This window comes from Homo sapiens, chromosome 9 (genome assembly GCF_000001405.40).
Source record: "Homo sapiens chromosome 9, GRCh38.p14 Primary Assembly".
Lineage (NCBI taxonomy): Eukaryota > Metazoa > Chordata > Mammalia > Primates > Hominidae > Homo > Homo sapiens.
Window position 1 is genome coordinate 127,568,467 of NC_000009.12, and position 15,349 is coordinate 127,583,815.

Below are 15,349 nucleotides of genomic sequence, written 5' to 3' on the forward strand. Positions count from 1 at the left end.
GCTTCTGGGCGGGGACAGCCAAGGGTGGGCAGCAGGCTGCGACCCCTGCCCCAGCTCGGCCAGGGGTCGTGGGCTGGGGGTCCGCCAAGCCCGGGCTCCGAAGGGGTTCCGGGAGAGAAGGAGTTCCGAGTCCCCTTGAGCCGGGAAAGGTGGCGCTCAGAAGAGCGCGGGAAGGGGCGCCCAGGCTCAGAGGGAACGAGCTCGGACGCGGGGCACGCTCCCTGGCAGCTCCCACCGGCCCGGCCTGACTCCCCCGAGCCCCCGGCCCCGGCGCCAACTGCTGGCCGGGGCGGGGGCGTGGTCCGGGGGTTCCGGCAGGCCCCTGGGCGCGCGTGGCGCGGCGCGACCCTCACCTGCGATGTGCTGGCGCCGGGCGTCGTCCAGGTGCGTGGACAGCACGTCCCCCATGGCCAGGAGGTGTCGCGGCCCGATCCGGCCGACGCCGCCGCTGTTGCCCGCGCTGCTCAGGCGGACGCCGCTGGCGCCATGGAGCCCGGCCCGCCCTGCTTCCCCCGCTCCCGCCGCTCCCGCCGCTCCCGCCGCCCGGCTGCGGCTTCCGCTCCGGCTCCGCTCCCGGTCGGGCCCCGTCCCTCCAGCCGGCCGCCTTGGCCCCCTCCCTGCCCTCGGCCCTGCACCCCGGCGCCCCGCTCCGCCCCACCAGACCACGCCCCCGCAGGCCAACCCCGCCCCCTCCCCGCCCGCTGCCCTGCGCCCGCCGCGTCCCACCCCGCCCCGCCCCGCCCCGCCCTCGGTCCTGCACCCCCCTGCGCCCCACCCAGCCCCTCCAGGGCCCGCCCCGTATGCCCCGCCCCCTCCGCTGCCTCCGGCGGGCGGGGCACAGGGGCGGTGGACGCCGGGACCGCCCTGGAGAAGGAGACAAAGAGAAGGTCCCAGAAAGGGAGACCGCGGAGAGACTGCGAAGAGCGCACCCGCCCTGTACCTAAGCAGAGAAAGAGACGGGGCTGGTGGGGACATCTGAAAAACTGGGGGTGCTCTGGGGGACTCCAGCCTGAGTGTCACCCCCCTCCCCTCCCCAACCTTGCCCGCGCGGGAAAAGAATCGCGCCGAGGAGGATGTGGGGCACTGGCAGGGGACGCCTGGACCTACGGGCCGGAATTCGGCGTTCGCCCCCTCCTCTACCCTGAACAGTGCCCCCTGCCCCCCCAAGTCCCGCCCGCCACTGCCCGCGCTCAGGAAGTTCCCTGGCCTTGATTCGACCTGCCCCAGAAGGTGTGCCCGCTGGTCTTGCACAACAGCTATAGGAAGGGGGTGGGGAAGGCTCGGGCCCGAAGGCACCCCCGCCCCAGTGCCAGGCGGGCTTGCCTCAGGCTCAGCATATGGGCATTTCACTCGGGAGGCGGCTTGGGGGACAGAGCAAATCAGAAAAGGAAAAAGCAGTAGCACTTTACAGTTTGCAAAAGACTACCAGAATCAAAACCCGGAGACCGACAGGCACCAGCCTATGGGGCTGGGCATGGGTGGGTCGCAGTGCCAGGGGAATGTGTTTCAGTTTCAGGACCTCCCAAGCTGGCAGGGGAGACAGTCAGGTTAACCAGTGGGATCCCCAGATCTCAATCCTTTGGCTGCTGGTGCTCAGATCTCCTGATCTGCACTGGGACAAGGCCATCCACTTTCTGCTTGTTGACCCCTGGTAACTAAGCACTCACCACTTCTCTCATGCATTTCACGTTGTTATTGGGCAGCTCTTAGTGTGACTGTGGCATAAGGCAGGAAGTGATGATGATAACAGTTAAATTTGCTGAGCACCTGTACTTCAGGCCTGTGCACACCACAGGAGGTAGGTTTGAAATGGATTAAAGTGATGCAGGCATTCATTCATGCATTCAGTCACTTACCAGTCATTCAGCAATGGGTGGTCAACACCTGTGTGCCAGGCCCTCTGCTAGATGCTGGGGGTGAAAAGAGAAGGAAGCCCAAGCTGCCCTCCCCTCTGTGACCCTGGACAAGTGGCATTACCCCTTTGAACTTCAGCTACCTCATCTGTCAAAAGAGAATGATGCTTTTTGCGGGAGGGTTAAATGATATCACAAAGTGCCCAGCATAGTGCCTGGCACCAGGGTCCATCATCTCTCAATGAACAGAACGTGTCATTCTATTATTCATAGTCCCTGCCCTCAAGAGCTTAGAGAAGCTTGAGGAAGGAGCAGAACATTCTGTTTTAAGGAAAATCACAGAGGGGGTAGGACCAGAACTGGAAGTTGAAAAACAAGACTTTTGACAGCAGATACTGAGAAACAGCATTCCAGGGAGTGGGGACAGCATGGGCAGGGGCCCAGCCTTTGAGGGCCGGGATGCATTCATGCGTCAAAGAGTCATCATCAGGTGGAGTTGAAGTCATGCTGGTTAGGGATCACTAGTTTCCTTTTATAGAGGTGGAAACTGAGGCCCAGAGAGGGAAAGTGACTTGCTAAGGGCACACAGTGAGGCAGAGGGAGAACCTGGCCAAAGGCCAAGTCTCCTGGCACCCAGTGTCTGATTCTCTCTGAGCAACCAGAAGCAAGTGATGCTGATAACCTCTTTTCATTTTTCTCATAGCCCAAACTGCAGGGTCTGTTCTGCCCAGGGAGGAGCTAGCTGGAGCTAGCTGGCATCTGGACACCAGAGGCATCTTCTTGGCTGGGCTGGAGGCCTAGGCCAGGGGGGTTAGAGATGGGGCCACAGTGGCCTTTCCCCAGGCTTCGTGGCACACCCAAGCCTGGAACACCCACAGCCTGCCTACCATGTGAGGCCCCTGGCCCAGGGACGGGTTCCTCCCTGGCCCAGGGACGGGTTCCTCCCTGGCCCAGGGTGGGACCCCAGATGGGGAGGCAACTTGAGCATCCAAAAGGTCTCCTCTTGCTTTGGAGACCTTCTGTCACATGTCACCTAATCCATCTGAGCATCCATGGCCTCATATGTGAGAGGCACATGAGATGAAAGTGGAAAGGCGGCCGGGCGCAATGGCTCACGCCTGTAATCTCAGCATTTTGGGAGGCCGAGGCAGGCAGATCACGAGATCAGGAGTCTGAGACCAGTCTGGCCAACATGGTGAAACCCCATCTCTATTAAAAATGCAAAAATTAGCTGGGCATGGTGGCACGCGCCTGTAGTCCCAGCTGCTCAGAAGGCTGAGGCAGAAGAATCGCTTGAACCCGGGAGGCAGAGGTTGCAGTGAGCCAAGATCGTGCCACTGCACTCCAGCCTGGTGACAGAGTGAGACTCCATTAAAAACAAAACAAAACCAAAGAAAAAAACAGAAAGTGGAAAGGCATTGTGAACAGTAGGGTGCTATGCACACATGTGAATAGCTCTCCGCAAATCTGGGGCCAGTCCCTGACAATTCAAGATTCATTCATTTCACACCAAAAAAAAACTGCCTTGTCTAGGGATGGGATGAAGGAGAATTGATGGCAAAAAAAAATCTGGAGGGAACTTTAGGGGGATAAAAATGGTCCTATGTCTTGACTGAGGTGTTGGTAAGAGAACATATTTATCTAAATTTATCAAACTGTACAGATGCATCAAACGGATGCATTTTATTATATCAAAATTATACTTCAACAAAGTTTATTTTATTTTTATTTTTGAGACAAGGTCTCTCTGTGTCGCCCAGGCTGGAGTGCAGTGGTGCAAACATGGACTCAGTGCAGCCTTGGCCTCCTGGGCTCAAGGCATCCTCCAATCTCACCCTTGGGTTACCACACCCAGCTAATTAAAAAATGTTTTTCATAGAGATGGGATCTCACCATGCTGCCCAGGCTGGTCTCCAACTCCTGAGCTCAAGGGATCCTCCCGCCTAAGCCTCCCAGAGTGCTGGGATTACAGGTGTGAGCCACCATTTATTTTAAAGTGAAAAAATAAACATGCAAGCACCTACTATGTGTTGGATGCTATTCTAGGTATTGGGGATAAATCAGTATGCAAGAAAGTCACGGTCCTCGTCTTCATAGAGGTTATAGTCTTATGAAAAAATACAACAAATAAATAAAATGACTTCAGAGAGTAATAAACATTAAGATGGGATAGGGTGACAAGTGGGGTTGGGGTGGGATGCCATCTAGGAAAGTGGTCTAGGAAGGAGGAGGAGATGATGCCTTGGGACCTGATTGGCAAGAAGGAGCCTGCTTGAAGAAGGTTCAGGAAGAGCTGCCATTTATGGAGATGGACCACAGACCAGGTGTCACACCAAGGACTTTTCTGCCTCCTACTGTCCTCACAGCTTCTGGGGTAGTAATGATAAAGCCCATTTTAGAGTTGAATAAATTGTTGCGAGGATTTTTTTTTTAATGATATTCAGGCTGAGCACGGTGGCTCACACTCATAATGCCAGCACTCTGGGAAGCTGAGGCAAGAGGATTGCTTGAGGCCAGGAGTTTGAGACGAGCATGGGCAACAGAATGAGACCCCGTCGTTAAATAATTTTTTAAAAAAATTAGCTGGGCCTGGTGGTGCATGCTTGTAGTCCCAGCTACTAGGAGGCCAAAGCAGGAAGACCTTGAGCCCAGGAGTTTGAGGCTGCAGTGTGCTGTGATCTCGCCGCTACACTCCAGCTTGGGTGACAGAGTGAGACCTTCCCTCTTTATAGATATATGTATGTACGTATGTATATATATTCCATTGTATGTATACAGCAATCCTTGTTCAAACACTGGAACAGGTAGGCACAGAGAAGGCGTGACAGGTAAAGGCGTGAGTGTGAGCAAAAGGAAGCAAGGTGAGTCCTTGTGGGGCCTAAGCCAGATGGCTGATCTAGGACTTCCTGCAGGGAAGGAGGGGTGGGCCCTGGCATGGACTGGTGGGACCCCAGATGGGGAGGCAGCCTGAGCATCCAGAACAGAATTTGTTGTTTTTTTTTTTCACTCTGGAAAGATTGTAAAGCTCTTTAAACTTTCTCAACTCTCTCTACTATATGTTAAGAAATCAATTATTGTAATAAAAAAAAGTTACAGTCTTTGGGTGGGGAAGGAATGAAGTTATTTGCCCTTTTTTTTTTTTCAAGGAAAGAAAAATAAACATAGTCATCAGCACTATGAAGGATTCCAGGAAGTTTGACATCAGAGAATTTCTCAACTCTAAAATGCTGGAAACCCCTGCCCTCACGCTGGAGGCCATTTTGATGTCCCCTTGTTACTTTTGAGTAAATGGAAACATCTTTTCACACATTTAGTGGCCATTTGTGGGTTTTATTTTTATTTTGTTTATTTCGAGACAGGGTCTCGTTCTGTTGCCCAGGCTAGAGTGCAGTGGCACGATCTCTGCTCACTGCAATCTCTACCTACCTTCTGGGTTCAAGCAATTCTCCTGCCTCAGCTTCCCAAGTAGCTGGGATTACAGGCACCTGCCACCACGCCTGGCTAATTTTTGTATTTTTAGTGGAAATGGGGTTTTGCTATGTTGGCCAGGCTGGTCTGGAACTCCTGACCACAAGTGATCTGCCTCCCTTGGCCTCTCAAAGTGCTGGGATTACAGGTATGAGCCACCGTACCCAGCCTGGCCATTTGTGGTTTTTAAAATTTATATCCTCTGCCTGCTTTTCTGTGGGAATGTCTATCTTTTTCTTATTGATTTGTAAGAGTTCTTTCTATAGCAAGGATTTCTGAAATCTGCAAGGCAGAGGGATATCTGTTCTTTTTCTAAGACTCTGGACGCTGTCTCTATTCACCAGGGGCTCCCACTCCCTTTTCTTGGCTCAGGCCCCAGAACCTGGTTGAAAATGCCAGGGCTGTGGACAAAGGGTGGCAATGGTCTACATCTGGAGCAGAGAGGAAAGGTTCTCCCTGCCCACTTGCTGGGCCTGCCCCTCTTGAACAGAGAATGCCACCTACAGGTCCTGACTCATCAGGCCTTTCTCTGGAAGTGGCTTCTGCCCACTGCCTCCCTGCAAACCTGCCCCGCCCCTCCCCTGCCCACCACATCCTCAAGCATATTTGGAAGCAGGGATCCAAGGGCGAAGAATAATAATATTTGGCTTTAAAAGGGAGGGTTCAGACGGTCAGAGCCAGAGCTTGGACCGAGACTCAGAGAAGGAAAGCAATTTGCCCAAGAGCATTCCGCAGGAGCCCAGCCCAAGACCCCTTGCTAGTCCTGTAGGAAGAAGGAGAGGCCCTTTCTCTCCCCATGAGTCCCTCTCCCTCCCAGTTGGCACGGAGTCCCAGCTCTGCTCTCCCCACAAACCTGTCAAACCTGAAATAGACCAGGAGAAAAAAAACAAACACCTCCAGTAAACAGCAAGGAGTGTGAATGAATCAGGATTTTGTTTTTAAGGAATATCATGTATCTACCTCTGTTTACCCAGTTGGCATGGCCCATTGTGCAGAAGGGACCCTGGCACCCAGCCCGGACCTCCTCTCTTTATTAACTGTTGGGTGGTGGAAAGGTCCGTAGCTTACAGCCTGTTCCGTCTGTCACCTGGCCTCAGGCTGCTAAACTCCCTCTTACTCTTTCAGTGGCCAAGCTGTCACCTCTCCCCAGCTCCACTGCCACCCCAAGTCCAGGGAACTGGCCTCCCTGCCTCCAGCCCCCCATGCATTCCTCACTGGGAGCCAGAGGAATTGTTGTAAACACAGATACGACCTTGCCATTCCCCCACTTCTAACCTTCTGTGGCTTCCACTGTCCTGGAGAGAAAGACTCCAGACATGGCACTGGGGGCCCCTGCCAGTCCCTCCCCCCACTTCCCCTCCCCATTCTCTAGCCACACTGAGATTTCACATCCTCAAACTAGCCCTGCTCCATCCCACCTCACAGCTTATGAAATATGGATTCTTTTTTTTTTTTTTTTGAGATGGAGTCTCGCTCTGTCACCCAGGCTGGAGTGCAGTGGTGCGATCTCGGCTCACTGCAAACTCAGCCTCCTGGGTTCAAGCAATTCTCTGCCTCAGACTCTCAAGTAGCTGGGATTACAGGTTCCTGCCACCACGCCTGGCTAATTTTGGTATTTTTAGTAGAGACGGGGTTTTACCATCTTGGCCAGGATGGTCTTGAACTCCTGACCTCGTGATCCACCCACCCCAGCTTCCCAAAGTGCTGGGACTACAGGCATGAGCCACTGTGCTGGGCCCTTTTTTTTTTTTTTTTCTTTTGAGATGGAGTCTTGCTCTGTCGTCCAGGCTGGAGTGCAGTGGCGGGATCTCTGCTCACTGCAACCTCCACCTCCCAGGCTCAAGCGATTCTCCTGCCTCAGCCTCCTGAGTAGCTGGGATTACAGGCACCCGCCACTATGCCTGGTTAATTCTGGTATTTTTAGTAGAGACAGGGTTTCACCATATTGATCAGGCTGGTCTCAAACTCCTGAGCTCAGGTGATCCGCCCGCCTTGGCTCCCACAGTGCTGGGATTACAGGCGTGAGCCACCGTGCCTGGCTGTGTGAAACATGGATTTTTTTCCCGCATCTTGCCCCACCAAGCAGCATTCAGCCTTCAACCTCAGCTAATTACCCTTCATCAGAGAGGACATTTCTGCACCCTGCCCCCCTACTAGGTCAGGCCTGCCATTATTATCACCCCCTCCCCAGTGTCCTAAACTCCTCCTTCATGGCAAGCATCACATTCAACATGATTTTGTGTGTGTGCAATTATCTGTTTAAATAAATCTTTCTCTCTGAGGACCAGGACTGTCCTCCTTCGACATGACATCACTAGCGTCAGTCGCAATGGGAGCTTGAGGGAGCACGTATGATGTGCAGAACACTATCCTGGGCACTGGAGGGGAACGTGACAGTGAGGGACCCACCTGGTCCTTGGGACCTCACAGGTTTGTTCATAGACCTATACTGAAACACTCATGCCTGCAGTGGCCATGACACATCATGGGGTACAAAGTCCCTTCTATAGTGCATGTGGGCCTCTGCTACTGTGCAGAGCTTCTGCTTGTAAACTTCCAGGAAGGGGGTGCCTTACCGCCTTCCCAGGCACAAATTCCGTGGTTGGATCCAACAGCACTGAAGTCAGGCAGGGGGCCGCTGAAGTGCCAGCAGACAGGCAGGGAGTGAGAAATAACTTCAGGATGATAAAGATAATGGAAGCGCCCGTTCATTGCAGGCTCCTGTGCTCAGTTCAGTGCTTTATAGCTTCTGCCTCATTGAATGGTCACAACTTTTGGGGAACACCCACTTTACAGGAGAGAAAACTGAGGCTTCATGAGGTATAAGTAAGAGATGAGGATGAGATCAGGCACAGTGGCTCACGCCTGTAATCCCAACACTTTGGGAGGCTGAGGCAGGAGGATCGCTTGAGCCCAGGAGTTTGAGACCAGCCTGGGCAACATAGCAAGACCTCGTCTCTATTTTTTTTTTTCCCAAGACAGAGTCTTGCTCTGTCACCAGGCTGGAGTGTAGTGGCGCCATCTCAGCTTACTGCAACCTCAGCCTCCCCAAGTGCCACAACGTCCGGCTAATTTTTGTATTTTTAGTAGAGACGGGGTTTCACCATGTTGACCAGACTAGTCTCAAACTCCTAACCTTGTGATCCACCTGCCTCGGCCTCCCAAAGTGCTGGGATTACAGGTGTAAGGCACCATGCCCAGCCTCTATTTTTAAATAATTTATTGTTATTTTATTTTAAAGTAACAGATGAGGCCAGGTGCAGTGGCTCACGCACTTTCAGAGGCCGAGGTGGGCGGATCACCTGAGGTCGGGAGTTTGAGACCAGCCTGGCCAACATGGTGAAAGCCCGTCTCTACTAAAAATACAAAAATTAGCCAGGCGTGGTGGTGCACGTCTGTAATCCCAGCTACTCGGGAGGCTGAGGCACAAGAATCACTTGAACCAGAGAGGCAGGGGTTGCAGTGAGCCGAGATTGCGCCACTGTACTGCAGCCTGGGTGACAGAGCGAGACTGTGTCCACCCTCCCCCCAAAAAAATTAAGAGATGAGGATGAGACCCATACATAGCTCTGCCTACTTTAGAGCTGCAATACCCCACGCTTCCCACACCATCCTCCAGATCCAATACCCCACACTTCCCACACCATCCTCCAGATCCAATACCCCACACTTCCCACACCATCCTCCAGATCCAATACCCCACACTTCCCACACCATCCTCCAGATCCAATACCCCACGCTTCCCACACCATCCTCCAGATCCAATACCCCACGCTTCCCACACCATCCTCCAGATCCAATACCCCACGCTTCCCACACCATCCTCCAGATCCAATACCCCACGCTTCCCACACCATCCTCCAGATCCAATCCTAGAGTTCAGCTCTTTCTCAAACACAAAATGGGCTTCTCTGCTATATCTTTTTGTTTGTTTGTTTGTTTCAGGGATAAGACCTCTTGCTCTGTAACCCAGGCTGGAGTGCAGTGAGTTGATCATGGCTTGCTGCAGCCTCAAACTCCTGGGCTCAAACAATCCTCCCGACCCAGCCTCCTGAGTAGCTGGGACTACAGGCATGCACCACTACACCTGGCTTTAATTTTTTAATTAAAAAAAAATGTTGGGCCAGTCACAGTGGCTCACACTTGTAATCTCAGCACTTTGGGAGGCTGAGGCAGGTGGCTCACAATGTCAGGAATTTGAGACCAGCCTGGCCAACACAGTGAAACCCTGTCTCTACTAAAAACACAAAAAAATTAGCTGGGTGTGGTGGTGGGTGCCTGAAATCCCATCTACTTGGGAGGCTGAAGCAGGAGAATCACTTGTATCTGGGAGGCGGAGGTTGCAGTGAGCTGAGATCGCGCCACTGCACTCCAGCCTGAGAGACAGAGCAAGACTCCATCTCAAAAAAAAAAAAAAAAATTTAGCTGGGCGTAGTGGCCTGTGCCTGAAATCCCATCCGGGAGGCTGAGGCATGAGGAATCCCTTGAACCCAGGAGGCAGACGATGCAGTGAGCCAAGATCCAGCCACTGCACTCCAGCCTGGGCAACAGAGTGAGACTTGGTCTCAAAAAAAAAAAAAAAAAAAAAAAGTGGCCAGGCGCCATGGCTTACACCTGTAATCCCAGCACTTTAGGAGACCGAGGCAGGTGGATCATCTGAGCTCAGGAGTTCAAGACCAGCCTGGCCAACATCGTGAAACCGTCTCTACTAAAAATACAAAAAAATTAGCTGGGCATGGCGGTGGGGCCCTGTCATCCCAGCTACTCAGGAGGCTGAGGCAGGAGAATCGCTTGAATCTGGGAGGCGGAGGTTGCAGTGAGAGTGAGGCGAGATCTCGCCATTGCAGTCCAGCCGGGGTGACAAGAGTGAAACTCCGCCTAAAAAAAAAAAAGAAAAGAAAAGAAAAAGAAAAAGAACCCCTTGTCAGTGGGTGCTGTAGTGCCTTAAGCCTATGACGCTTTGGGAGGTCAAGAAGTGAGGATCCCTTGAGCCCAGGAGTTTGAGGCTGCATTGAGCTATGATCATTCCGCTGCACTCCAGCCTGAGTGACAGAGCAAAACCTCCTCTCTAAACAAACAAACAAAAAAGAACCCCGTGTGCCTTGTGTCCTGGGGACTTGTGCACAAGTCTTACCTCCCATCCACCCCATCCTCCAGAGTGAGAGCCCCAAAAGGAAGGGACCGGAACTGGCCCAGTTCCTGACTCCTAGCACGTCCTTGAGAGCTGTTTGCTGCTGAGCCAGTGCCGGACAGTCACTCCCAGTTCCTCTAAGGCCAGCCAGGCGGGGTTTCAGGCCCCACCACCTCCCTCCCACCTCTTCCATGCTAGACTTTGTTTCCTGCTGGGCTGCAGCTGCCCCTCACCAGCTGGTGACTCAGAGCCTGGGCAGGATGACAGTGCCGATTGGGCCCTCGCAACCCTCTGAGCCTTCTGTGAATCAGCCTGCGGTGAGGCTGCGCCCGGGCTCCCGGGTGGGGCACCTCCACCCCAGCCTGGCCCTCCTTCCTCTCCCCTTTAGGTCTTGCTGATTTCTGTCCTCCAGGTCTTCTCAGTAGAATGAGGATAATCCTGAATTCAGAACATATTTCCTGAGTACGGTGAGTGCCCAGGAGATGGGGGCTGAGAGCTGGCTCCTGCGCTCCTGAGAGCACAGTTTCCTGGGCAGGAGCAGAGAGAAGGCCCAGAGGAAGATGGGAGGGAGGCAAGGCAAAGGATGCTGTGGGGAGAGCCCAGAGCTGGGCCGCAGGTGAGCAAAGACCACTGTGTGTTAAGGACTGGTCAGGGACCTGGGAGCAGAGAGGTTACGAGGACCGGGCCTTCCCACACCACATGGTGCCTCCGTGAGAATTAGCAAAGTCAGTGAAAACAGGCTGGGACTGTCTTGTGCCAGGGCCCCAGCTGGCTTGGCAAGTGCAGTGTGGGCTGGATTCAGCCCCCATCACCCAACGCATTTGTGCAGGGAGCCCTGAGTGAGGAGGCGGGGATGGTGCCGCCTCCTAGGGGACATTTGGAAATGTGTCTACGGAGGTGTTTTCATCGCCACTATGTCTGGTGTTTGTGGGAGTGGGGGAGTGTGGGGCAAGGGGAGGGGTCTTGGCATTTAGTGTCTGAAATCCAGGGATGCTAGGTGTCCTGTCAAGGTGGCTGGTCCTGCCAAGGGTGATGAAATATTCTCTGTACTCCCAAATCCAGGCCTGAGACCCCTCTGCTGTCCAGTTACATCGTGGAGAGGACCATAACAACTGTGACCTTGTGAAATTCTTCCCAGTGTGCTAAGTCGGTTTTTTTGTTTGTTTTTGTTTTTGTTTGAGATGGAGCCACGGCTGGAGTCCAGTGGTGCGATCTCAGCTCATTGCAACCTCCACTTCCCGGGTTCAAGTGATTCTCATGCCTCAGCCTCCCGAGTAACTGGGATGACAGGTGCATGCCACTACACCCGGGTAATTTTTGTATTTTTAGTACAGATGGGGTTTCACCATGTTGGCCAGGCTGGTCTCGAACTCCTGGCCTCAAGTGATCCGCCCGCCTCGGCCTCCCAAAGTGCTGGGATTACAGGCGTGAGCCACTGCACTCGGCCGAGCCTGGTTTTCTACCTATGCTACCTACTTTCTCCAAGGATGCCCTGCTCTGGAAATCTTCAAGGGAATGCCTTTTACCTTAAAGTAGCTCCCCTTCCTCCCTGTCAGGCATCTTTGCATAACTCTGAAGAGTTTTGAAGATGCAAAGTCCTTCCTCTCTGCCCATTCAGGGAAGCTTCTGGCCGCCCTCGGGGTGAGTGGGCAGTGGCGGGTGGAAGTTCCTCAACTTCATTACAGCTGTGAGGCCTCGGATCGGCTCTCACCACTCTGGGCATCCTTTTTTGTAAAATGGAGCCAGTAATTTCCACTCTCCTGGTTATTGTAGGCTGGCAATGAGGGCATCCGCGGATGGCACCTGGCCCACTCATCAAATGGCAGCTACCCTCTCTCGTGATGATTGTCAGCATCTAGTGTGAAAGATGGGAAGAGCCTACATCAATTCTTTTTTTTTTTTTTCTTTAAGAGATGTAATTGCCCAGGCTGGTCTTGAACTCCTAGACTCAAGCCATCTGCCTGCCTCAGCCTCCTAAAATGCTGGGATTACAGGTGTGTGCCCCCAAGCCCAGCCTGCACTGGATTCTCATTCTGATGTTACAAGGTGGATGGGGCCATGATAGAGGTTTGAGCCAGCAGGGAGGGTGTGGCACGAGGCCTGATGGCTTCTTGGAGGAGGAGGTGTTTGAACTAGGCCATCGGAGACAGAACAGATTCACTGGGAAAGTAGCTGTGTGTGCCAGGTGCACCAGCCGGGCTGCCAAGTGCTGATTTGTAGAAATTCTCTGGGGGGTTCTCTGAGTGAGGAAGAAGGATCCATGGGGCCTGGGCAAGGCTAGAAGTGATAGCCTGGGAAACAGTCTCAGGAGTACAGTTTCTTCCTTTTTCTCTTACTTGTTGAAGCCTAATTTACATATTATCAAATGCACCAGTCGCAATGAGTTTTAAAAATGTTTTGGCAGCTTTATGTAAGTATAACTGACAGATAACCCACACTCATTCAAAATGTACAATTTGACCAGGCACGGCAGCTCATGCCTGTAATCCCAATACTTTAGGAGGCCGAGACAGGTGGATCACCTGAGGTCGGGAGTTTGAGACCAGCCTGGCCAATATGGTGAAACCCCGTCTTTACTAAAAATACAAAAATTAGCCAGGCGTGGTGGCACATGCCTGTAATCCCAGCTACTCAGGAGGCTGAGGCAGGAGAATCACTTGAACCCGGGAGGCAGAGGTTGCAGTGAGCAGAGATTGCACCATTGCACTCCAACCTGGGCGACAAGAGTGAAATTCCGTCTCAAAAAAAAAGTAAAATTTGATGATTTGGGGCAGATGTGTCCATCCATAGAACCATCGCCACAGTCAAGATAATGAATATATGTATCACCCCCAAAGTTTCCTCTCTCCCCATGTAATCCGTCCCTCCCTCTCTCCCTGTGTAATCCCTCCCTCCCTCTCTCCCCATGTAATCCTTCCCTTCCTCTCGTTCCATGTAATCCCTCCCTCCCTCTCATCCCATGTAATCCCTCCCTCCCTCTCTCCCCATGTAATCCCTCCCTCCCTCTCTCCCCATGTAATCCTTCCCTCCTTCTCTCCCTATGTAATCCCTCCCTCCCTCCCCATGCAATCCCTCCCACCCTCTCATCCCATGTAATCCCTCCCTCCCTCTCTCCCCATGTAATCCCTCCCTCCCTCTCTCCCCATGTAATCCCTCCCTCCCTCTCATCCCATGTAATCCCTCTCTCCCTCCCTCAGGCAACCACTATGCTGATTTCCATCACTATAGATTAGCTGCTATTTTCTAGAATTTTATAGAAATTGAATAATATAGTATTACTCTTTTTTATCTAGCTTTTTAAAAAAAACTCATCATTATGGCAGGGCACAGTGGCTCATGCCTGTAATCCCAGCACTTTGGGAGGCCAAGGCTGGCAGATCACTTGAGTTCAGGAGCTCAAGATCAGCCTGGCCAACATGGCGAAACCCCATCTCTACTAAAAATACAAAAATTAGCTGGGTGTGGTGATGTGCACCTGTAGTCCCAGCTACTCCAGAGGCAGGAGAATTGCTTGAATCCAGGAGGCGGAGGTTGCAATGAGCGGAGATAGTGCCACTGCACTCCAGCCTGGGCGACAGAGCAAGATGCTGTTTCAAAAACAAAAACAAAACAAAACAAACCAACAAAAAACAGAAAAAGTCAAATAAAACACTTGTGAGCATTTGTGCATACCTTGATGAGGTTTTAATCTGTATATACAGGCGTATAACCATCACCCGGGTCAAGACATGAAACATTTCCTGGACCCAGAAAGCTCTCCTGTTTCAGGCCATATTGCTTCAACTATTTTGACTCTTATCACAATAAGTCAGTTTCATTCCATTTATATTAAGTTTATAGAATTTCATGCATATGTAATTTTTGTTTTTTTTTAGACAGGGTCTCACTCTGTCAACCAGGCTGGATTGTGGTGGCACAATCATGGTTCACTGCAGTCTCAGCCTCCCCAGTTTGAGTGATCTTCCCACCTCAGTCCTCCCAGACTCAAGCAATCCTCCCATCCTCTCAGCCTCCCGAGTAGCTGGGACTATAGTCATGCACCAGCATGCCCTGCTAAGTTTTTTATTTTTTGTACAGACAGGGTCTCACTATGTTGTCCAGTCTTGAACTCCTGGGCTTAAGCAATCCTCCTGCCTCGGCCTCCCAAAGTGCTGGGATTATAAGCACCAGCCACCATGCCCAGCCAATAACTTCTATAAATGGAATTAAACTCTTTGCATATGATTTCTTATGGAAAAAAAAATGGAATTAAAGAACAACGCAGGCCAGGCATGGTGGCTCATGCCTGTAATCCCAGCACTTTGGGAGGCTGAGGTGGGTGGATCACCTGAGGTCAGGAGTTCGAGACCAGCCTGACCAACATGGTGAAAACCCGCCTCTACTAAAAATACGAGAATTAGCCAGGCATGGTGGCGCATGCCTGTAATCCCAGTTACTCCGGAGGCTGAGGCAGGAGAATCACTTGACCCCGGGAGGCAGAGGTTGAAATGAGCCGAGATTGCCCCATTGCACTCCAGCCTGGGTGACAAGAGCGAAACTCTGTCTCAAAAAAAAAAAGAACAATGCAATCTATTTTTTTGTGTCTAGCTTTTTTTGCATCACACTATGTGTCTGTGATTGACCCGTGTTGTTGCCTGTATTAGTTTGTTTCTTTTATTGCTGTTTAGGGTTCCACTGTACAGATCCACCACAAGGTGTTTACCCATTCTCCTTCTGATGGACACTTGGGTTACTTCCAGTTTTGGCTATTATAAACAAAGATGCTATGAACATTTGTATACAAGTCTTTTTATGGACACATATTTTCATTCTCCTGGGTAAACAGCTAGGAGTGGAATTTCTGGTTCATAGAGGAAGTGTTCTTATTACTAGAAACTGTCAAACACTTTTTCAAAAT

General features: G+C 52.1%; 1 protein-coding gene and 1 long non-coding RNA gene across 5 annotated transcripts in view, besides 6 other annotated features; one reads left to right on the top strand and one right to left on the bottom strand.

The window, feature by feature from the left end:
• The window catches only part of NIBAN2 (niban apoptosis regulator 2), a 73,689-nt gene extending 63,124 nt beyond the window's left edge, over positions 1-10,565 (bottom strand). For 2 of the 3 annotated variants that reach the window (NM_022833.4, XM_011518925.2), the window contains exon 1: positions 354-607. In NM_022833.4, the coding sequence (NP_073744.2) occupies positions 354-408 (55 nt within the window). In that variant the 5' untranslated portion in view covers positions 409-607. Of the gene's footprint in view, positions 1-353; positions 608-10,455 lie in introns of those variants that run through there. The other variant, NM_001035534.3, reaches the window with a different exon arrangement.
• Positions 421-480: a silencer, noted in NCBI's record as "silent region_20304". NCBI's record gives its function as "represses an Ori minimal core promoter by ATAC-STARR-seq in GM12878 lymphoblastoid cells {active_cell/tissue: GM12878}" and the evidence as "EXISTENCE:reporter gene assay evidence [ECO:0000049][PMID:35858748]".
• Positions 671-910: a silencer, noted in NCBI's record as "silent region_20305". NCBI's record gives its function as "represses an Ori minimal core promoter by ATAC-STARR-seq in GM12878 lymphoblastoid cells {active_cell/tissue: GM12878}" and the evidence as "EXISTENCE:reporter gene assay evidence [ECO:0000049][PMID:35858748]".
• Positions 671-1,303: a biological region, named in NCBI's record as "H3K27ac-H3K4me1 hESC enhancer GRCh37_chr9:130331508-130332048".
• Positions 763-1,303: an enhancer, noted in NCBI's record as "H3K27ac-H3K4me1 hESC enhancer chr9:130331508-130332048 (GRCh37/hg19 assembly coordinates)". NCBI's record gives its function as "activates a minimal SCP1, AML or CMV promoter by ChIP-STARR-seq in primed H9 embryonic stem cells {active_cell/tissue: H9 hESC(primed)}" and the evidence as "EXISTENCE:reporter gene assay evidence [ECO:0000049][PMID:30033119]".
• Positions 1,304-1,843: an enhancer, noted in NCBI's record as "H3K27ac-H3K4me1 hESC enhancer chr9:130332049-130332588 (GRCh37/hg19 assembly coordinates)". NCBI's record gives its function as "activates a minimal SCP1, AML or CMV promoter by ChIP-STARR-seq in primed H9 embryonic stem cells {active_cell/tissue: H9 hESC(primed)}" and the evidence as "EXISTENCE:reporter gene assay evidence [ECO:0000049][PMID:30033119]".
• Positions 7,704-7,998: an enhancer, noted in NCBI's record as "tiled region #10550; HepG2 Activating DNase matched - State 5:Enh". NCBI's record gives its function as "activates a minimal TATA promoter and a strong SV40 promoter by Sharpr-MPRA in HepG2 cells {active_cell/tissue: HepG2}" and the evidence as "EXISTENCE:reporter gene assay evidence [ECO:0000049][PMID:27701403]".
• A 246-nt stretch (positions 10,566-10,811) lies between the features above and the next one.
• Positions 10,812-14,113, top strand: LOC124902276 (uncharacterized). Of its 2 annotated transcripts, XR_007061796.1 has the most exons (3): positions 10,812-11,068; positions 11,515-12,093; positions 12,226-14,113. It is a non-coding gene; the product is annotated as an uncharacterized LOC124902276 (long non-coding RNA). The 2 variants fall into 2 exon arrangements; XR_007061795.1 differs by having other exon boundaries at positions 11,515-14,113.
• Positions 14,114-15,349: the final 1,236 nt, after the last annotated feature.